A 23,936-nucleotide genomic window follows, 5' to 3' on the forward strand; every position below is an offset into this window, starting at 1 on the left:
TCTCAGCTCGAATTGTTGGAATTATCATGGTTACTTCCATTGTTCAGACAGGAAAAAAGACAGGAGTAGTAAAACAAAGGGAGAGGGGCCATTTGCAGCAAGGAGAAAGGAAACACGATTCTAAAACACATTCATTAACCCAGGGCTACTACTAGATGCTCTAGGCTAGAAATGACCAGGCTGCTTCTAAACAGATTTTAATTTTTAATTCAGTAGAATAGGTCAGATACAGCTCTCCCACCTGGAGGTCCTGCCCTAGAACCTACCTGCCCGAAGGCGGCACTGCGGGTCTGCTGGTAATCATCATCTTTGGGCAAATGAAATCTCCAGTCAGCTACACCCGCTCTGTATGTTGTGATCCCAAGAACCAGTAATAAAAGTTGGACAAGATCTCACAATGAAGTGGAGGTTTTCTCCTTCGATTTTTTTTTTTTAGGAGCAAGAAAGAACACTTTTTTTTTTAAGCCATTAGAAATGTTTTTAAAGGTAGAGGTAGAAGGAGGGATGTTGGTGTTTGAAATAAAATTCTAATAAATAAAGATCAGTTTTACTACTTAATTAAAATTGGGTAGAGGCATATATGTGGGTCCAAATTTGATGCTCACCATACAAATGCCCAGACACGAGAGAGATCTCCTGGGAAATTAAAACGCCTACACGTAGGGAGAATTGAACAGACCAGGGCCCCAGAGCCTCCGCACATGGAGCTAAAACAAGCATAGAGGAGCCGAGTCGGACTGATTCCCCAGCTCTTCACAGCCCCCAGATTAGCTGGGTATTAGTGCAGGCTGGTCTCAGCTGCCCATGAAAATGAGAACACATTTTAAAACCTGCATTTGAATTTTAAAGGTACTCAACATTTCTAGTATTGTTTACTGAAAAAGGTCAACACTCAAGTGTTTTATTTATGCACGGCAGAACCTCAGTCTAAAAGCACTAGGCTTTCCATATGGCATAGCCTGAGAATGTGTTAAATATGTAGTTCCAGAGCCAAGAATATTATTTTTCAACTTAGCGAATGCATTATTAAAAGACCTCTGCTGTGCCCACCACTGGGAGATAGGGCAAGAGGCAGCAGTGACCCTGCATTCTGAATGCACAGAGACACTGACAGTCACTCACTCTAAATACCAATGACAATATCCCCAAACCCACACCACCCTAACCCATGCCTTGCTCTGAATTTGGGCAGTCTGGAAAAAATGAAAATGGAAACCTTTAAATAAAACTCATAAAACTTCAGTTCCAAGCACAATATTTTTGGTTCTTTGGACAATAAGTGTTTCACTGAGATTTATGCCTAGGGTCCTTTTCCATATCCCGGCTCTGTGTCAGCGTTCACATCAGCCCTCAGTTCTTCTTGCAAATCAAGGGTATAATATACTGATTCCTTCAAATAATATTTGTGTTAAAATCATTAAATGCCCATGCAAGTAATTTTTTATTAATGGGATGAGAAATAATACATAATACATACCAATTTTATGACAGCGAGAGGAGTTATTAACTTTAGAATATCTGTTGTATAAATTAAAAATCTTAAGAATAAGTCCAGTGTTTTAAATATACTATGGAAAAACAAAATTAATGCCAGGAGAATTTTGACTGGAATATAGAAATGCCTTTATCATTCTGGGAAAAATACTACCCTATAAAAGCCACATCCTCTGATAAGTTCAGAAATTATCCTTTTTATATAAATATTATTCACTTGGAAAAATGTTTTCTATAAACAGCTCCCTTAGTGCATTTTAACACATACTTTTATTTACAGACATTAGATTTACACATGTTTCCAGTATAAATCTTTCGTATATAGCAAAGAGAATCTGTGACCAAAAATTCTGTTCAATTCGGATGTGGGGAGCAAATAAATGACCAATGTTCCCATATACATAGTAATATATGGCTAATTTTATATAACATGTTCACATTAAAAATAAGAACATAAAAATTTTTAAATCTTCAGGAACTGTCTTCAGGAAATTTCAGAAGACTATGACTTTTAAATTACGCTTTTACTTGATCCACCTTCCAAAAGCTCAGAATCCTTATATTAAAAGAGCTGGCACTGACATAATTTGATTTAATCCTGTAAATATGCATGGAAGTCCCGATGTACATCATCTACTATGCTCTGCCTGCGTGATGCAAGGTGAATCAGGCACCATCCACTGTCCCTCTTGTTAAGGAGTCCACAACTGTGCTGGCAGGACAGACACGTATATAACTGATTATAATGTACTTGAGATAACTGGTATATCCCGGTGGTGGGAATAAGAGGCTTTGGCAGCACACGGAGTAAAGAGCGAGGATCCTGGAAGGCAACCTGCATGTAGGGAGAGTGGAAGCTCACCCGAGGAGGTGACATTTGAGCTGGTTGTAAAGGAAGAATAGGATCAGACCAGGCGAAGGAGAGGCATTCCAAGTGAAGAAAAAACAATTATCCACACATGCCAAGTTTTTCAGATTTGACTTTTAGAAGCGTTTTACTTCAAAAAGGTTTAAGTGTGCAATGTCTAACAAGAAGCAAAAATTACAATCTAGATTGTTTCTTTATGACTAGCCTGCTCTTCTCCCACGGATCCTAGCTGTTTAGGAAGTACAGGTAGTAAGAAGAGGATGTGAAGTACTTTGGTAGCCACAGAGAAAGTGAGAACGCTGCAGTAACTGAACTAAAGATTAGAATTAGCACTGTAGGCCTGTGAGTGGGGTCGGGGGAGCTACCAGTGAATTGAGGAAAAGCAAAAGTGTTTTAAGCAGACTGCAATAGCACCCCTTTTCAGTCTGCTTAAAACATAAGCCTTAACCTTCTTAAGAAAGAGTCTGCTAAAACACAGTCTGCCAGGCCTATCAACTACAGGGTCTGCGAGGAATTTGCTCTGAGCTGGGACCTGTTAGTCATCAGCAAGGAGAGCAAGGAGAGCGGATCATTTTCTTTCAATAATTTAATCACACTGGTGTGAGTGGAGGTGAAGGCTGAGCTGCAGGCTTCATATTCTACTTCTTTCACAGACGGCAAAGGAAGAGTAGAAAAGCAAGGTCCCCTGGGTGGACCTGGAGAGAGAAAAAAGTTCTGGGACATCCCTTGTCTTCAGCTGGGTTCTAGGAAAAGGCCAGGGGTGACAATAGCTCAAATGAAGATGGCCGGTAAATGGCTGAGAAGACCAAGAAGACAGACTGTGACCCGTTTCACAGTGCCTAACTAAACCAGAATTTCAAATTCTTAAGTTAGCTAGAAACATATTTCATTTATTCACATTTTAAAAAAATCAAGTTAATTCATTCATATTGGCATTTAAAAAACGTGTATAAGAGAGGTACAAAAACTGAATTGTGTTCATTGTTCACCTTTCTTTGAGTTCTACATACAGAGTCAAGTTGTAGGAGGGATGTATTCAGGAGGACAAGCCTTGGGGATTTCACTCTTTTATTATTCTCTGTATAAAAGAAGATGGTTTGTTGGATCCACGTGCCACCCGTACCTCTTCCCTGGGCATGTGGCCACGAGGCAGGGGGCAGAAGCTGCCCTGGGCTAGGGAGACCTGGGTTCTGGCTTCCAGTTCTGGGTCTGCCACTGACCCACTATGTGAACTCGGGCTGGTCACAGTTTTCTCAAGTAAGAATGAGAAGCAAGGACTGGACTGGACTCTTTTCCTGGCTGTTTTCTGCTCCAGTGCTTTCTGATTCTATAGAACAATACTATGTTCTAGAGAAATGTTTCCTTCTTTCTGGGTTTTTTTTTTTTTTTTGATACGGAGTCTTGCTTTGTTGCCCAGGCTGGGGCACAGTGGCACGATCTCGGCTCACTGCAAGCTCCACCTCCTGGGTTCACACCATTCTCCTGCCTCAGCCTCCCAAGTAGCTGGGACTACAGGCACCCACCACCACGCCTGGCTAATTTTTTGTATTTTTAGTAGAGATGGGGTTTCACCGTGTTAGCCAGGATGGTCTTGATCTCCTGACCTCGTGATCTGCCCGCCTTGGCCTCCCAAAGTGCTGGGATTACAGGTGTGAGCCACTGCCCCCGGCCCACTTTCTGGGTCTTATACATTTCTTTTTTTTAAAAAAGCCACTGCAATAACAACAATGTCCCATCTAGTGTTAAAACAGGGAACATGGTCCAGGACTGCAGAATGAGGAATGGCGCTCAGGTCTTTCCTGGCTTGGGGGTTCTGAATGGCGATTGAAGGGCATGGATCCTGCTCAGGTGGTTTTTGTTGGATCTCAATGACCCAACTTTTTCAAAGAGGGCATTTTTTAAAAGACTGTGTTTTACAACTTTTATGTGTGATGTACAACACCAGCATAATAGGACCATTACCAAGGGCACATGGAACAATCTTTCCTATTATTTTTACTGGCAGCTATCACCAAAAGCAAAAGAGCCTCCTGGGATGCAGGTCATCAGGCAGCCCCTTCCTGGGAGATAAGAAGAGATTCTGGGTGTGACGCAAGCAATTCAGCTAAGCTCTGGCTCCTCACTGAAATCTTCACAGACATAAACCTGGGAGTTCTGCAGGGTTTAATCAGTTCAGCCTTCCCTTTTCATTGCTTTCTTTCTGAAAGCTCCCACGAGGAAAACATCTCCAATCTGGGTAATAGCTAACCACACACTCAGAACTTTCCAGGTTCCACAGTAGTCTGTCTCCCTTCTTCCTAAATGCCAACCCACAAGAAAAGAAATCAAGGGAGGGAACAAATGTAAATACTGAGACAATGCAGGTATCTTTGAAACAAATGATCATCTTCCTTCTTGTGGGTTTGTCCTGTGCCTTGTTTTTTTTTTTTCATTAAGTGCCAAGACAATTTAATTTGTAAACTGCCATATAAAAATGGCCTCATTTTGGAATCTGCCTCCCTTTTGGAACCCAGGTCAGTTCCGTGGAATATTTGTGGAGTGACTACAGCATGCCAGACACTGTCTTAATGATGTCTGGGCTGAGAGAACAAAATGAGCCTGGACTCAGAAATTCTCCATCTCACTGCCTATTGCTCAGAGCTTTGTGGCCCAGATTACCAGAATTTTCAGTGGCAAGGATTTCCTTTTTTTTTTTCTTCTTAAACCTGAGTTTCTTGATGGTTGAATACATCCCAGTGGCTCCTTATCTTCTAGAATGCTTAAATGCCTACTGGGCTGATGGCTCTAACTCACCCGCTTGTTAACCTGCGTTGATCTCTCCTAACTGGCTACCTCTCTATGCCCTCCATGGCTATTCTGCCTTCTGGGCTTACCTTCTAGTCAAATACTTGGAATTCTCCTGTTTATAAGCCCCATCTAACTTCTGCCCAACCTTCAGCCTTGGCTTGCCAGTTTAATCTGTCTCTACTGTGATCCACATCCCCAAATCAGCTTGGTTCTCATGTGCCCCAAATTGTCCTTAACTCCCTCATCCAACAATCCCATATTCCTATTCCACAGTCTCCATGCCCATCCTGGGGGCACAGTACTCTTTGACTAAAGTTTAGAATGATAGTCTCTGGTCAGTCCTGTCCTACCAGTCAAACCCTAATCTCAATCCAGGTCTGGAAGCTGCGATAATCTTGAGTACAATACGAACTGGTAATCAGCAAGTGGGGTAGCTCAAACAGAATACTGGCAAATGAAATTTGCCTTAGAGGGCCATGAGAACATAGTGGCCTCTGATTAATACCAAAGAAAGAAAACATCTAGAATATTTCTTGAACACCTAGAGTAATGCCTGGTACAAAATAGGAGCTCAAAAAATTGGCAAATTATAGAAAGATGTCTTTTAAATAACACATTGCAAATGTTGAGGATATGACTGTCTATTGTAAGATTCTTCTGGATAAACTGTCTGATTCGTGTGTATATCCCAAGGGCCCAGCACAGTGCCTGACATATAGTAGGCTTGATAAATATTTGCTGAACTGAAATGACTTTGTTGAGAAAAGTATGTCGATGTCACTTGGTGGAGGATATCTACTTTTCCAGCAGTGTGGATGAGCAGGACATCTTAGGATGTCTAAACTAAAGGATCAGCTTGGTTGGGCCCCTAAATTTACATGCCAAGGTGTTCTTAAGGCACTAGAGTATGGAAGTCTATCAGATGGACAGGGACCACAATAGGAGAGGGGTAGGAACCCTGCAAGATAGTCTGTGCCCTGACTTACATTCCCTGTCTACTGGAATTCTCTGGACCTTTGGGTTTTATCCAGAATGCAGGAGATCTTTTTGACACCTTTTTCACTCATTCATATGCAAAAGCAGAAATCTGGGTCTGGCCAAGCATCTCTGATGCATACATGAAATGTACATGAGCATAAAACAGCCAGCTATAGCCCTTCTAATGGAGACCTTCATAGCTGCCATAACAGCTGATGGATTGGTGTAAGGCTAGTAGTTTTGAAGTTATATTTTGTATTTATTGTTGAAGCTATCAGAAATGTAGAGAACACTGAGGTCAATCAAGAGTATATGATTTTCCAAGTATATTAAAATGTGTTTGTGTTCCTTTCATACAAAACATAAAGCATCCATCTTTAAAATGTTCACAGCAATCAATGCCTTTAATTGAGCAGAAAAGCATATACAGATATAGAAATGTTTAGTCCTAGCCGTGGTTCCTGACAATCATCTTCAGAGATAAATTTCCACAATGGATGTTTCAATTAAGACAGTAATATTTATTGAAAGGTAAACCATAAATGTATAGCCACTGGAAACATTATTGAACAGAAGTAATTTATGCTGCAGCTGGTGCACTGCATTTTTGCACTGCTTTGATTTTATCAGCATTTGTCAATTAATCAACATGAACCTTGTAAAACATGTTCTCTTATTAGTTGGAACAGGCAATTGCTTGCAAACTTTGCAGGAGAGGTCATTTAATAATTTGCTAATTGTGCAAAGACAGATTTAAAATAAAAATAAAAAAGGTTAACTCTCATTACCATTGTACCTAAATAGGACTTTGTTTAAGCTTAGGCTTGCCAATTTAAATATTGTCAATGGTTTAATTTTTAAAAAAACTTCAAACGGCAAATAAAGATTAAGATGAAGATCAACTTAGCTCTAGGTTTTTAAAATTTAAGAGCATTTTTTGTTTGCATCTTTGCCATTTCAAAGAGTTACTAGCCTTGAGGCTATAGTTATAAGACAAATTGACTATATTTTATTGGGAGAAAAGTGAAGAGAAAAAAGAAAAAGCAAAAGAAACAGGAAATGCAGCAGCACAAAGAGCAATCCAGTAGTACAGTTCTTTTTTTTCTCCCCCTTTTTTGCCTCAACTCATTCTTCATTGATCTAGATGAGATGTCACCTCCCTACTTTTGACTGCTGGTTCATTTTCAGTTCAGTAAGTGAGAAAGAAGCTGAGTCAAGCCCTCTCTTTGGGTAATTCATGCATCAGCACACTCGCCAACTCTCCTGGCAACCAAGAAAGCACTTTAACTCAGAGCGGCATCGCCACCAACAAGCATTCTGCAGCCATCTAAAAGGACGCAACTGAGTTTAAAACGGGTAACATACCTTGGAGAGCAATTTCTACACTGGGGTCTGCAGGGCTGAATCGAGAAATCCGCACCATCTTAGAAGTGTAAGTGAAACTTAAAATGAAATGGCATGCCTTAAGGCATTTATAAGAGTAAGAATTTTGCACAGAGTTCACAGAGACAATGTTTGTTGAATGAAGATGGGCCTTGCCAGATACAGTCTAGGCAAAGTGCTTTGCTGCAGAGCTCCTTTTATAAGAGTTTAGAGGCCCAAGTTGCTCTCTGCCTGTTCAAACTGGCTTATCAATCCATTCCATTCCATTCTGTTCTCAGTTCTAAATAAGTCATTATTTCACGCACATTTCCCTAAGCAGACGCAAACACTGTTTTCCAGTGTGAGACTCCCTTGGGCAAATTAGGTTTCTTGGAAAAGGGTCAAGGAGCGATCAAACAAAATACCTCCTAGAAACAAGTGGTTTCAGGGGACATTGTGATTTATGCAGGCTACAAGTCAAATTTTAGACACTGGTTGGGCAGTAATGTTGAATCTGATAGGGCTAGTTATGGGGAGCAAAATCCTGCTACCTGCAGTTTCTTTTTAAGGTAATAATAAATGGGCGTATTTCTTATGGAAACAAAACTGATGATCATAAAACAATCAATAGAAAGTTTCCTTTTCTAATATTTTGAATTAAAAGGTGTTAAACAAATTTTAATTTCTTAATAAAATTGTAGTAAAGTAACTTTCATAAGGCAAAAGTTCATATCTTCTATTCTCACAGTCTTACCTAACAAACATGAAATACTTCTAAAATAGATACTTCTTATTGTTTTTTTTTTGTTTGTTTGAGTCACAGGGAGAAAAGTCCCTTTTATGTTCTTTTAATACTTGCTTTTATTAACCTCAGCTTCAGTTAGCTCACTTCCATATATCAAGATTCTTTCTACAACCGAAGAGACAAGAGGTAAATGCAAATGTGGGAAGGGAAGCTGCTTGGTAACACACTAGCTGCTCCCTGGCAGCAGTTATTTCTATCTAAAGCATATATACCATATTAAGAGGCCATAGTGAAAAATGAAAGGATGGAACGGCAGGTTTTCATTTGTTTTTAACATTTTAGAATGCTGTAAATAAGTTTGTGTGTTTCAATTCAAATGGTTCCATTACCTCGGAGGCCTTAATCATTTGTAATAGCAATTTCGGAAGCGTCCAAAGCTTGTGCTTAAGGAGTATTATTGGCATTCAATATAGTCATATGATATTAAGCAGATTTACAACGTTCTATGTGGTTATCCCTGATCATCTTTATTTAAAAGTAAGTTCTGGCTGATGAGGTGGCTTAGTATCCTCATGGATTTTGGCTTGTTAGCCGTCCCCTGCCAGAAAATCTGGCTCTGCTGGACACCCTCACACCTCTCCAAATAAACCTTAAATTTGCAAGGTGAAGTGGGGGGCAGCAGATGGCAGGAAGAGTTCAACTAAGAAAGAAGTTTACAAAGGCAGCTTTTTAAGAAAATGTACCTGGGGTTTTGGTTTTATTCAAGTACGACGAGGCCAACAGATCAGGAGGTGACTGTCATTGAGAGGATAGTTTGTCACAGTTCCAAGAAGAGCAGGCATGCCAGACCACACTGGGCTACCTGGGGAGGCACCAGGGTCAGTAGGAGGCAGAGGAAATACGGGGAAAATGTGGGGAAGGGCCTTTATTATGGTTTCCATGGAAAGAACAGGCAAGACAGAGTAAGCAGCTTTAGGATAGCTAATTTAAATAATTTCAGCAGGCTCTGTGGTATAGGGACGGTTCCTAGTTATGCAGTACCTGGCCCTGGAGTGATTCAGGGCAGGTAAATAGTGTTCTGGATTGCAGGAGCCTGATAAAAGGAAGCAGGTAGTGGCGTGGACTCAGGATTGGTTGGTTTGAATATCAAAGGCGAGCTCATGGGCAAGATGTTTGCTATCTCTAGGTATCAGCTGACCCAGGAAGGTTTAGCATCCCAAGTCCACAAGGCCCCAAGATGTCAAAGCACTGTAAAATACAGAAAATTTTTAAAAACAACAACATAATTAATAGAAGCCTGTCTGAAACACTGCTATAAGAAACATGAAAACAGAGCTTCTGAAACTTCACTGTCCACAGGGATCACCCGGGTATTTTGTTAAACTGCAGATTTTGATTCATTAAATCAGGTAAACGTTGAGACCTTGCATTTCTCATAAACTTCTTGGTGATGTTGGGACCACATTTTGAGTAGTTAGAAGTAAAAATATCATGAAGGGTCTTCTCTCTGGCTCATCTTCGGTCAGGAAAGGGGAAGGACCTTACATACCGAGTCTTACCTTGGACCAGACGCTGCAAGGCACTGAATATATATACTTGGTCTTATTTTGCTTTAAGAGCAAACTTTGCTAGTGGGAAAATTATCCCAATTTTATAGGTAAGGGAACTCAGGCTGGTTAAGTAACCTGCTCTAGGTCATTTAGTTAAAAGGTAGTAGATATAAATGTATCTGGCCTAAAAATCCATTTTTCTCCCACCACAATGTAAGTACACAGGGCACTCCTCTGATGGAAAATGAAAAGTCTGTTGGTAAAGGCTTCATAAAATATAAAGCCCATGAACTTCAATAGTGGCCCATTTACAACTTGACTTATGGAAAGAAGAGAAATCAGAATGGTACTTATTGTCTCACAATTAGAAATAAATGGTGTTTATTAATAAGTGATTATTTTATCATAGCCTTCACAAAACACTTTAAATGGGAGTCCCTATAAAACTAGTGTTTTTATTAAAAAAGATACGTACATGTACATGGTAAGATATATACAATAAAAAGTTAGTCTTGCTCCTAGTCTCCTACTTCTACTGCTCACAGGTAACTACTGTGAAGTTTGTATAGCCTTGCAGTACTGTTTCTATGCAAATAATAAACCTTTCTCATATAAATTCATTCATTTGGTTATTCTAGGTACTTGGGGAAAAGCAGTAAATAAAACAGACAAAATCCCTTATGTAGGTTATATTCCAGTATGAAGATAGATCACAAATAAACAAATAAGTTATAGATTATATCAGATGGGGATAAATGCTAACAGAGAAAAAGGGGAGAGCAGACAAAACGTTTTCAAGTACGAATTCAGTGGTTAAGGAAGGCCTCATTGGAAAGGTGACAGTTGAGTAGAGACCTGAAGGAGGTAATCTTATTCCACACTTACTTTTTCCTTTAACAGTACGTATTAAATGCTTCACCACAGCAGGGCTTACAGATCTACCTCTTTCTTTCTTTTTTTTATTATACTTTAAGTTCTGGGGTACATGTGCAGAATGTGCAGGTTTGTTACACAGGTATACACGTGCCACGGTGGTTTGCTGCATCCATCATCCCATCATCTACATTAGGTATTTCTCCTAATGCTATCCCTCCTCCTGCCCCACACCCCTTGACGGGCCCTGGTGTGTGATATTCCCCTCCCTGTGTCCATGTGTTCTCATTGTTCAACTCCCACTTATGAGTAAAAACATGCAGTGTTTGGTTTTCTGTTCTTGTGTTAGTTCACTGAGAATGATACTTTCCAGCTTCATCCATGTCCCTGCAAAGAACATGAACTCATCCTTTTTATGGCTGCATTGTATTCCATGGTGTATATGTGCCACATTTTCTTTATCCTGTCCATCATTGTATCTAACTATTTATTTTGAGACGGAGTCTCTCTCTGTCACCCAGGATGGTGTGCAGTGGCATGATCTCAGCTCACTGCAACCTCTGTCTCCTGGGTTCAAGCCATTTTTCTGCCTCAGCCTCCCAAGTAGCTGGGATTACAGGTGCCCGCCACCACACCTGGCTAATTTTTGTATTCTTAGTAGAGATTGGGTTTCCCTATGTTGACCAGGCTGGTCTCAAACTCCTGACCTCAAGTGATCCGCCTGCCTAATTCTCCCAAAGTGCTGGGATTACAGGCATGAGCCACCAACCTGGCCTACCTTATTCTTTTTAAAGACTCCATTGTACCCCATTGTTTGCATGTATCATAATATTGCTGGGCTTTTGTTATTGCCACAGGTGGATGTTTTAGATTAATCCTGTTATAGTCTGTTAGATGATCATTTGAATGGTTATAAAAGAGACTTGGGGCTTGTGGTATAAAGCCTGATTAAATAGAAAGAAACCTGAACTAAGCATGGGAAGCTATGAATGCAAGTCCAAGCTGTGCTATGCTTGCTATATCATTATTTGTGGACTTCCTTTTTTATTTTCCTGTTCTGGCCTCATGACAGGGTTTCCATTTTCCTGGCATGTCTTGGGCTGTTCACCAGCCCCAGGGTCATGTCTAGGTGATTCTTCAGTTGGAGACCTAACTGACATCCTTCCCACAGCAACATCAGTGCCAGGCTACCTGTAACCCTGCAGAGTCAAATTAAAACTTACAAGCTTTCCACATTCCCCACGAAGGAAGTACTAGCAAACTTTTAGGGAGCAGTACCTCTGGGCTCTGTGCACACTCTCCGTGCTTAGGAGGAAAGCACATGAGCTTCCTTAAAACAAAAACAAAAACAAAAAGCCATACATTCTAGTGATGTTTATTTTTGCAGATAGAGATGTTTAGCACTGGGTCATGACAGAGTGGATTTCACCTTTAATGGAAGATTAATTTGCCCATTTGATTAATATCTGCGGCAATCCCTGGAATATGCCAGCACTCTGCCTGGCACTATAGGAGGAACAAATACCAGTGTAATATGGTTCCTGTCCTCTGGTGTTAAAGGCAATACAGCAGGAATGAAAAGAAAGGGGAGAACACTATTATCCGGGGTCCCTCAAAGATCCCTCAGAGAGCTTTTTGAGCTAATATGTAAACAGGTAGGGAAGTGTTCAAGGGATGGAGGTGCTGCAAGGGGACCTTGGTAAGGGATAAGTGTATGTGAGTGTGTGTGTTAGGAATATGTGTGAATGGAAGGTGAACAATAATTGCACTACAAGCAAAGGAACAGATAAAGGAAAATATAGGTGTTGTACAGGAAACATGAAGTAGCTCTGTTTAGTTTAAAGAAAGAATGTGGGGAGTAGGTGTAGATGATGGGAAATGTTGGTTAGAGTAAGACTGGCAGAGGGTCCTGAGTTCTACTTTGCTATTAGACATGAGATAGATAAATGAGTTTTGAAAGATTAAAAAATCACCATCAGCTTCTTCCTCTCTTGTTTTTGCTTTATTTGGGGTGTGGGAGCATTGTCCATGTTGGTTTTATAATTTCTACTTCTTATTCCAGTAATTTTTAAAAATCAGCTTAGTATTTATTAAAGTAATATATGCCTATAGTTTAAAAAGGTGAATAGTATTATAAGGCCTATAATTAAAAAGAGTACTCCCTTCCCCCACTTTGCCTACCACTCCTCCTTCCTGCTTCTCAGGGGAAACTATTTTTTTTTTTTGCTTTTATTATGAAAGATGTTTATTTTCCAGAGTGTGTAACCTCATATATAGGTAAGACTTTTGCTGCAATCAATTGTTCTTGGTTTGGTTAATCTATAGTCTTGTCCAGCGCAGGAAAACTAGCACTGTCCAGCAACTGTAACCAGGGAGATTGAATTTCACCATGGGAGAGGAAACCACTTTTAACTATGCTATTTACATCCCTATACTTAAGTACTGTGTATATACTGATATTTATTAACTTATTCTTAGAGATTATCTGCCTTACTACTATGCAAAATAAGGAAAATTTAGCACTCTGATACTATCACACGCTCCCAAGTTTTCTTTCCTGATCTTTCCAGTGGGTTAAATGGCAACTTGGGGTTAAATTGATATTCCAGTTTACCTTACTATGACCATGTAATATTGTTTACTACCAAGACAAGTAGTAAAAGAGTATGCGTTCGATGTTGTTCAACATCTTATTTTTCCTGGTGTTGTCTTTTATTTTGCTCACCTCTTTTGTGTATCTATCATTAACCATTCATGAACTACCCAAAAGAACTATAGAACTTATATTGAAACCATTTTTTTTTTTTTTTTTACACAATTAGCCCACTGGTTAGTCTACTGGATCTCTTTTTCCCTGGAGGAGCCTCCCGTCCAGCCCCTCTGGTCTAGGGGTTTTCCAGGCCAGCTGCCCACCTGTTGTCCTGGGGCTTCTTTTTAACACCATTTTGTGAAATCCCTATGCCTCTTTCCTGTGTTGGAGCCCCCATTTCCTGGATCCCATGATTTCCTCTTTGTTGGTTTACATCCTCATTTTTGTAGAGCACATTCTCTAGTAGCTTCCTGAGAAAAGGTACATGGGAGGTGAATTTGTTGAGACCTCATGTGTCTGAAAATGTCTTAATTCTACTCTCATACTGAGTTAAACTTGTAATTGAATTTTAAGTAAAATGTAATTTTCCCTCATAATGTTTAGGCTGTACTTCATTGTCTTCTAGCTTCCAGTATTGCAGTCTCAGGCCACTACTATTCCTTTTACCAGGTATGATCTTTTACATGTGACCTGTGTTACTCCTCTGGAAGGTTTTGGAATCTTCTTTTTAATCCTGGTATTCTGAAGTCTTAGAGTAAAGAACCCTAATGAGCTAATGAGAATCTTTTCTTACCCATCATTTTGGGCACTTTATGGTCTCTGAAAATCTGGAAAATAGCATTGTTCCATTTTGACAATTCTTCTTCTATTATTCTTTAGTACTTGTCTCTGAATCATTTTTTTCTTGTTTTCTCCTTCTGGCATGCTTATGGTAAAATATGGAACCTCATGGATTAATCCACTATATTTCTCACCTCCACCTCACCCCACGTCCGTCTGATATGGTTGGCTGTGTTCCCATCCAAAACTCATCTTAAATTGTAGCTCCCATAATTCCCATTGTTGTGGGAGGGACCCAGTGGGAGACACTTGAATCATGGGGGGTGGTTTCCTCCATACTGTTCTCATGGGAATGGATAAGTCTCATGAGATCTGACGGTTTTATAAGGGGAAACCCCGTTTGCTTGCTTCTCATTCTGTCTTTGCCTGCCACCCTGTAAGATGTGACTTTGTTCTTTCCTTGCCTTCTGCCATGATTGTGAGGTCTCCCCAGCCATGTGAAACTGTGAGTCCATTAAACTTCTTTTTTTAAGTAAATTACTCAATCTTGGGTGTGTCTTTATCAGCAGTGTGAAAACGTTTGGACTATCTACTTTCTAGAAAGTTTGACTTCTATACCTCTGAATCATTTTATATTCTTCTATAAGTTTAATTTCCAATACCTCCTTCTTATTTTCTAATTGTTCCTGTTCTATAGAATGCTTTTTATTTTATAGATATAACAGTATCTCTCATCTTTCTGAAGTTACTATAGGTTTTTAAAGGCTTTCATTTGCTTCCTGAAATATCTATATCTTCTCTGAGCTCCTTTAGCCCCTTTCTCTGTTTTGATCTCTATATTTTATTCTATATTTTATGTCAGTGGATATCCTCAAATATCTGATGGCCCTTCATTACTCATTTATATTTAAGAAATATATATGTTTATTTCATATATATACATTATATATGAAACAAACGATTCATTTATATTTAAAAACAGTGGGTCTAGTTTCCAAGGGAAACCCTGAGTGTAGACAGGGTGTGCTTTTTCCTTGACTGGCATCCCTCCGAGGTAACAGAGTGGGGAATCTAACCATTTCAACAGGGACTCTGCCAATCAGTCATTTTTTGGACTGAGTTTCTGCAGATAAGAATCTCCAAACCCCTGCCTAAGGAGCCAGTCCCTAGCTGTAGGTTCCCTGGGAGCTATGTCAGGGAATAGTCCAGGAGGGTTTCACCTGTTCTCTCTGTGGAGTTTCATCCTCTCTCCTGGGCCCAATCCCTGAGTCTAGAGTATCTCTGATTCAATGTAGCCTAAGACTATCCCTGATACCTCACATAGGGTTGGGGAATTGGTAGAGTCAGTGTGAGCTAGGGAGGGCAGGGCCTAACTACTCCATATACTCTGTTGGTCTGAAGCTCCTGGCAATCAATTCTCCTTTTTCCAGTCTCATGACTCCTAAGCCTCCACAGCATCCCGTGCATGAATCTGAAGGCTTTGCTCAGTGCACCTCAGCTATTCCTCCTCCATCACTCTGCTGTCTTCCACAAATTGCCTGATATCTCACATTCAGTAGCCTCTCCTCTGTTCTCTCATTTGCTTTGTGTCCCTGCTTTGTGGTTTTTAAAATTCTTTACTAATTTCAGTGAGATTTATTTTTTGTTCTTTACTAATTTTAATGAGATTTATTTTTTATTCTTTACTAATTTTAGTGAGATTTCTGGAACAGGAAGATATGAAAGCATGTGTTCAATCTAATAAAACCAGAAGTTTCTAGTGTTATACATTTTACTTTGTAGTTATATGTACTTATGTATTTTGTTTTGGTCTAGTTTGTTTGTCCAGAGAACTTTATGAGTTACTTGGACAAACTAGTAACCACCTCACAACTACTGTTAAGGAGGGTATTGACAAAATCATTTTACTTCTTTGTTATTTTTTAGGGATTATCAGGCAAGGTCAAGTTGACTTTCCATAAATGTTATCTTTATCCAGATAACAGCATTTTGTTATCTTGGCTCCAGAAGTTTGGACAAATAATCAATTTGAGGTAGACGCATATCAATTTATCAATAAGAAGGAAGGAAGACTATAAGGAGGAGGGAAGAAAGAAAGCAGAAAGGGAGGGAGGGGGAAGGAGAAAAAGGAAACAGACATAAAAGATTTTAAAACAGAACAGCAGGAAGACTGGCCCAACTAAATAACTATACTAAGAAAAGCTATGTATGTTCACTAAATAAGAAGATAAATTTCGGAAAATCATCTGGCTTTAAGATAATTCCAAACAATGATCACTGACTTGGAAGGCAGTTAAGCAATTTATGTCACTGAATGTTAATGGTCAAACTACGTTTTATCAGTCAACAAAATGTACCCAAAATGCATATGAAAAGCAGTATAGCCTGCAACAGAACCTATCACATAATGATTTTTCACAATTACATGTCCAGACCAACTTCTAACTATATACTGACTCTTACCACTCTGAAATATATCTATTTTTTGGCTCAAGAATATATGTGTATATGTATGTACCAAGGTATATATGTGTGTATTCCTCCCCTCATCTCCCAAAGAAATTTATGTTAGCTTGCAGGTAATCCTTTTACTTGAATATATGTTTATTTTCCTGCTTATATTTCTTATAAATTTGTCTAGCTCAAATTATGTAGTCCTCTATCCTCTGTCATACTCAATTATGGACCAATAACTTTTTTAAAAAAGTTAACTATGTTGTCAACAACATCACTTCCAATGTAGCCATCATCATATCTTTGAGCTTAACAAAAAGCTTGACTTTACAGTCAGATTGACCTTATTTTAAATCCCCTGTCTTCCATTTACTAAATAAACTCCCCGATAGGAAAATGGACATATTCTCTATTTTGCAGGATTTTATGAGAATTAAATCATACAATGCATATAAAGCACCTGGCATACTGTAGGTACCCAATTAAAAAAAGCTATTCAAGTCAGAATATGAGATGATATTGAAACCTTAAGCTGTCTAAAAGTACATCTTTTCCAACTGACTAATTTTTCATTTCCATTTTTTAGGCATCGCATCACTGGTAAGCTGGTCACCTGGAAGCAACGCATCAGTTAGCCACTGAAAAGGGGTGTGCAGAGCTCTTACAGAAAATTGAGAAAATCATTATATTGATATATTGATTATATTAAGAAAATCATTATATTGCTATCTACTTTTATATAAGTAGGGGAAAGGGAGGACTGGACAAAAACAATAAAGGAAAATATTTGGCCCAGCATCAGTTTCTTGACCCCTTTAGAATTCTATTTAACTACAAAATTAGGAGGTTATATGAAGTCCCTCCAAGTGTTCAGGACAAAGAGTTCTGTGGTTAGATGATTTTGAAACACACCTCGATCGTCTCACACCTCCCCCTCCCCATTCTTGAAGCTTTGAAACACATATGAGTTTATTCAAGGTATCTGTCCCATTTTGTTTTACCTTCCGTTATACAAACTTACTTGACTACAGACTCTCCCCCTTTTTTCTTTTCTTTCAGGTAATATTTATTGACATACTTTGGAAAAGACTGGATGAGTTGCTCTGCGACTTCCCACTCTAACATATGTTTCTCTGAGTTTCTACAACTTCAGCTAAATGTTTTAAGGAAGAAAAGAACAACAGAATATGTGCTAATTTTGATTGATTGATGCTCCCTCCTATAGCAGCATACAAATTTTAGAGTGGGAGAAAAATCTATTACGATTTCAATGAAATGAGCTATTTTATCTTGTCCCTATGTGGTACCATCAACATTTTAGACAGATGAACACCAAACCATTGACTGAATTGCTGCATAGTGGATTTGCCTTGATTATAAAGACAGTTGAATGACCAGGGTACCTCTGGCAATTTTGGCAATCAATAAGTAACATGAATCAACTATGTAGTGGTCAGACTGGCTACCCAGTGCTCAATCAAAACAGAAAATAACAGAGATAAGTTAATCCTTAGGTTGCAGGACTATACCATGATACCAGCATAAAACTCAAATGGACATTCATGATGAAAAAATGTTAATGCTATCATTATACAATAAACTGCTAAAAGTATTTTTATTAGTAAAATACTTTCATTTTTCTATCAATCTAACAACACTTATTTTTATCTGAAAGGAGGGTACTATGCTAAACGTCACTGGGACTAAAAGGATGTAGAGTAGGAAAAGGGCCAAAGATCCTACCAGAAAATGATCTAGGAGCCATATGTTAGTTCTGTCAGTAATTTTCTATGTAGCTGTCAATAATCCTTTGTTTTCTCTTTGTAAAAATAACTATCCTCTGCTGGGTGCGGTGGCTCCCACCTGTAATCCCAGCACTTTGGGAGGCTGAGACGGGTGGATCACGAGGTCAGGAGTCTGAGGCCAGCCTGACCAACATCGTGAAACCCCATCTCTACTAACACTACAAAAAAATTAGCTGGGTGTGGTGGCACGCGCCTGTAGTCCCAGCTACTCAGGATGCTGAGGCAGGAGAATTGCTTGAATCTGGGAGGCAGAGGTTGCAGTGAGCCGAGATTGCACCATCGCACTCCAGCCTGGGTGACAAAGCGAGACTCTGTCTCAAAAAACAAACAACGACAACAACAACAAAAAACCAAAACCAAAAAATAACAACAAGAAAAAACTATCCTCAAGGGGCTTATTGTTTAGTTAATTATATTTACAAGTTTGGGATTTTTGCTCCATGCCTTCTTTTGTTACAAAATTATCCTTAATTTACCTACATAACAGAGACAAAAGTGAGTGAATATTTTGATGTTCTTTAATTAATTACATGCCATAATACCCCTCCTTCATCTTAACTGCAGAAATTCTGTGAGAACCTATTGCAATGTTTTCCCTTTTTCTCTTGATATGTCTCTTTCCCCTCAAGGCTGCTAAGGTTTTAAAGTGTTCTGTTTCTATTTTTTTCATTAAAAATTCTATCAGAAACCCCACTTCCTCTCAAGAGGAAATTTATCCAAAACCACCTCTGTGGTATCCAAGTCATAAGTGTGTTGGTAGTAGGATGGCCAACTGTCCTGGTTTGCCCAGTAATAAGGAGTTTCCTACTATGTGGAACTTTCTGTGTTAAAAAGTGGGATAGCTGCCGGGCTCAGTGGCTCACGCCTGTAATCCTAGCACTTTGGGAGGCTGAGGGATCACGAGGTCAGGAGATCGACACCATCCCGGCTAACACGGTAAAACCCTGTCTCTACTAAAAATACAAAAAATTAGCTGGGCATGGTGGCGGGCACCTGTAGTTCCAGCTACTCGGGAGGCTGAGGCAGGAGAATGGCGTGAACCCGGGAAGCGGAGCTTGCAGTGGGCAGAGATCGCACCACTGCACTCCAGCCCGGGCGACAGAGCGAGACTCCATCTCAAAAAAAAAAAAAAAAAAAAAAAAAAAAAAAAAAAAATAGGGATAGCTCTCTACAAACCAAGGGAGTAGGTCGCCTTGGGTGTTAGCTTGAGAGAAGGATTGGATATGGCACGGAAACCTGCACCAGAGAGCTGCAATTTTGATCCTATTAGAAACACTCTTCTTTCACTGCTAAGCAGCTATGTACAACAATCAAACACCAGATGGATATATGAATTTAATGACCTTTAAGTTTCCTTTACACTGGTGGTTCTCAATTCTGGTTTCTTACTAAAATCATCTGGTTAGCTTTTTAAAAAGTGCTCCCTGATTTAACTGATTTGAAGGTGAGTCTTTGCCATGGGCATACATGTTTGAAGTTCCCCAGCCAATTCTCATGTAAGTCAGAGTTAAGAAACACTACTTTATACACATTCTGAGATTCAAACTATAGGCCTAGCAAGAGCTGTTTAAAGCAAGGAGAAATCTACTTTGTGATCTCTGACTTGTTAATTATTACATGCAAGTTTCTACTTCAACTTTAAAACAAATGAGAACCTGCAAACTGACTTTATGTATTCATCTACATTCATTTATTCACCTAGGGTTCATGATCTATAAGCATCTCCCTTGTCATGTTTGTATTCTGAACATCAATCACCACCATCTATTGATATATATATTTTTTTCTTACAAGAAACTGTATTAGGCACCGTGGGGTATAATGATTTAAATTGCAAGGTCTCTGTCCTCACGGACTCTATAAGTAGAATATATGAAAGGTGACTACATGATCAAGGCAAATGACCCCACCGCCAACCAAGGAGGACGTGGTCATGGCCTGGGATGGTTAGGAAATCTTCATAGAGCAGGTATGATTTTTAAGGGGCTTTGAGGACTGGGTGGAATTTTAATTAGAGAGCCATAAATAAAAACTACAAAAAGGGAGAAAAGCAGTTTGAGAATGAGTAGGGAGGAATCAGTTTACCAAAGTTAAGTATGTATACAAATAATACAGTTCACCTTTTGAGCCATGCAAACTGTATCTAAGGAGGCACAGAACCTTGTATGAGACCAACTGCTGAGCAAGGAAATGTAATTAGCGCAATCACTTTTTTGGTGCTAATTACTTAAGACATTGAAAAAGAGGATTAGACTGACCAATGAAACAATTGGTTCTGGATAAACATACAAAGCTTGGTCTGTAATGTGGAGAACAAGCCACTGAATAGCAATAGCCAAGCCCCTTCCCTCTGGTGCTGGGCCCACTCAAGAGACCTGATCACACAGACAGTGAGGCAGGTGCTGCATAGATCACTGCAAGAACCCCGAGGGACCCACTCTATCTGATCCAGTGAGATGATTTAGGGTTGAAGAAATAAATTTAGAACACAAGTCATGTAAAAAGTACATGTTACTTTATATGTGATGTTATGTGATTATCAGTCATTGATTTTCAATTACTTTTATAATGCAAGAGCTTTTCTTCTGGATTTCAGAATTTAAGAATTTCTGCGCCATTTGTCTTTGCCTACGAAAATAGTTAATTCTCATATTTATTCCAATAGCTGGTCTTCATGTAAGATATTAACTAAATGCCCATTAATAGTCTGGGTATGCAACTCAGGAAGTCAGTTGGCAAAATTAACATTTAGAAGTAGGCACCACTGGTTATTTCACACATTATTAACTTATATTACAATTCAAATAAGCTTACAGCTGGCAAAAAAATCTCTTCTGTAAAGCGATCTCAAACATAATAGGCTTAATCAGAGATAAATTAAATTAGGCAGCCATGCATACTACAGCATATTAATTCTGAGTAGTTATTACTACATTTTCTGTTATCACTGGTGTGAACAACATTATGTGCAAACAAATTCTTCGAGAGGGTAGCAAATAAAGTTTATGTTTGGGATGCCATGTGCCTAGCATTTTCCCATGTTTTCTTAAAATGTTAAATAATCTTTTCTGCTAATAATGGCACTAGGTTAAGTCCCCATAAACGAGTCAACCTCACTCCCAGGAAATTAAACAAATGAACATCAGACGAAACTGCTAAGTGTGGTTTGGATTTTTCCAAAGGGAACTTCTCAACTTTCTCTGGCAATTAAAAAAAAATTTGTTAATGAGTCATAGCTAGAGCAAAATTGTCCAAAATGTAAGGTAGTGCATAGTCGTTACGTTAAAAATCGGTGCCTCTCATTCTCTGTTTTGGATGAACTATGTTGCCTTAGAATACTCAAAGAAGAAAATTATTCAGGTAGAATGCTATTTTCTAAATAAGATCCTGCCATTATCTCTCTCTTTCTTTAAACGGTAGTAATCTAAGCCAGCAAACTAGCACTCAGATCCCACACGCTAGCAAATGATGCTTTTGTGAAAGAAAATGAAAAGATGCATCTAACCTTTATACACACACACACTCATGTTGCCTTTTTTGATGCACTTTTGTCAGATTATCTGATTCTTTGTTAATGAACCAGGCCCTTTAATTTCTGTATCCAGGAGTAATTCAAGTTACTAGGCATGACAGCCACTACCGCCCCCAAGTCTGAGAAACATGTTTCACATTCTTTGCGCTTTGCACATTTAAAACTCAATGTAAGGTGACAAGAACATTAAGCTGCCCAGTGAGTAAAATGTGAAACTAATCACTATCTGTTCTACAGATAGTGGGTACAATAATTGGCAAATTAAAGTGCCTGGGAAGAGCTGGGCCACCTGCATCAAAAAGCATCACCTTGGAATGGCTAATGAAGATAAATGTATGCAGCTAGCTTTACTGACAACTACTTCAAACACCAGCAGACTGAAAAAGCAACACTACAGTACTTATTTCATTTACTGTAAAGTACGCACCATGTGAAATTTTTGTTATTTAAAGGAAAAAATACCCAACCCCTCTCAATATGTTGTACACATGCCGGCTGAATCGAGGCTAGTACTTACTCCTAAAAAGCCAATGCTTTTCTTTTAAACTGGCAAACTGGGATCAATTTGCTTATTAAAACGTTGAATTTGTATTTTCATGACAACTAGATTCAAATAAATTAGAAGACTACAAAAAAGAAAATAATCCAATTTCAATAAAATTGCTACTCTTATTCATCCATTCATTTATTTGACAGTTATTGAATACCTACTATGTGCAGGTACTGTGCTTGACATTTGGCAGAGAGAGACGAATGACATCTCCTTAAGGAGGTTGTGGACTATTTGCAGGCAAGAGGCATGCTTACAGGCACACACACAGGCAACTAGAACCATGTGCTATTGTAGAAACATTTCAGAAAGGTGTCCCTTTCCCTTAGAGTCTTTCAAGAGAAGGCTCACTCTTAAGCTGAATTCTAAGATGATTTCTGAAGAGTTTTTGAGGGTGAGTAAGCTTGAGAATGGTCTTCCAAGCTGAAAAAAGTAGCATGTTCAAAATCAACAAGAAGGTCAGGATCTGCTTGAGGAAAAAAAGTGCCTTCAAAATATATGAAGGAAATAAATACAGAAATAAATATAGGAGGCAAGAGGTCAACAGATGATGAAGATGAAAGCTAGACAAGGGTAAGAATATGAAGGGCCCCAGAAGATATGTTGAGGAGCTTGCATTTAGTTCTGCAGGGCAGTACTTTTCAGAATATGTGACAGAGAACCCTGGGGACCTGGGGAAGGAGGGAGGCAGCCTGGAAGGGAGTGAGGAGTGAGAAGAGGCTGAGCAGTCAGGACTCAGGCCCTGTACCTCTACTCATACCACAAGAGCTTTGCCAATATCTGTTTCACCTTTTGGGCCTTCTTATTATTAGTGTTTTTGACAATTTTTTATACTGGAATAATCTTAAATTTGCAGAAAAAATTGCAAAGATAATAGAAAGAGTTCCTACATACTCCTCCCCCACTTTCCCCCACTGTTAACATCTCACATTACCATGGCCTGGTACGTTTGTGACAACTAAGAAGCCAACATTGGTGCATCACTACTAACTCAACTCCAGACTTCATTTGGATTTTACCAGTCTTTCTATTAATGTCCTTTCTCTGTTCCAGGATCCAGTCCAGTCTAGGATATCACATTGCATTGTGTCATCATGTCTCTTCAGTCTTTTTTGGTCTGTGACAGTTTCTCAGTTTTTTCTTGCTTCCCATGACATTGACGGTCTTGATGTGTATTAGCCAAGTATTTTTAAAGCATGCCCTCACTTTTGGCTGATTAGGGTTATTGGGAAGAATATCACCGAGGTAAGGTAAACTTCTCATCACATCACATCAGGGGGCAGGCAAATGACATCAGCCTGATTTATCATGGTGATGTTAACCTTGATCACCTGGTTAAGATAATGTTTACCAGGCTTTTTCACTGTGAAGTTACTATTTCCCCTCTTTGGAAGCCAGTCATAAATCCAGCCCACATTTAAGGGGGAGGGTAAGCTTCACTATCTGAAGGTGGATATATCTACCTGTACTATTTGGAATTCTTTTAGAAGAAAGACTCTATTTATTTATTTGTTCGATTGTTTATTTATATTAGGATGAACTCAGACATTTATTTTATACTTTCGGTT

General features: G+C 39.1%; 1 protein-coding gene and 1 long non-coding RNA gene across 32 annotated transcripts in view; one reads left to right on the top strand and one right to left on the bottom strand.

Moving 5' to 3' along the window:
• ENOX1 (ecto-NOX disulfide-thiol exchanger 1) overlaps window positions 1-23,936 on the bottom strand; it is a 573,843-nt gene that overhangs the window by 228,260 nt on the left and 321,647 nt on the right. The gene's annotated exons all lie outside the window — the stretch shown is intronic.
• On the top strand, window positions 7,463-18,099 carry ENOX1-AS2 (ENOX1 antisense RNA 2). The gene is made up of 4 exons (NR_120399.1): window positions 7,463-7,559; window positions 13,873-13,916; window positions 17,068-17,081; window positions 17,541-18,099. It is a non-coding gene; the product is annotated as an ENOX1 antisense RNA 2 (long non-coding RNA).

This window comes from Homo sapiens, chromosome 13 (genome assembly GCF_000001405.40).
Source record: "Homo sapiens chromosome 13, GRCh38.p14 Primary Assembly".
Taxonomy (NCBI): domain Eukaryota; kingdom Metazoa; phylum Chordata; class Mammalia; order Primates; family Hominidae; genus Homo; species Homo sapiens.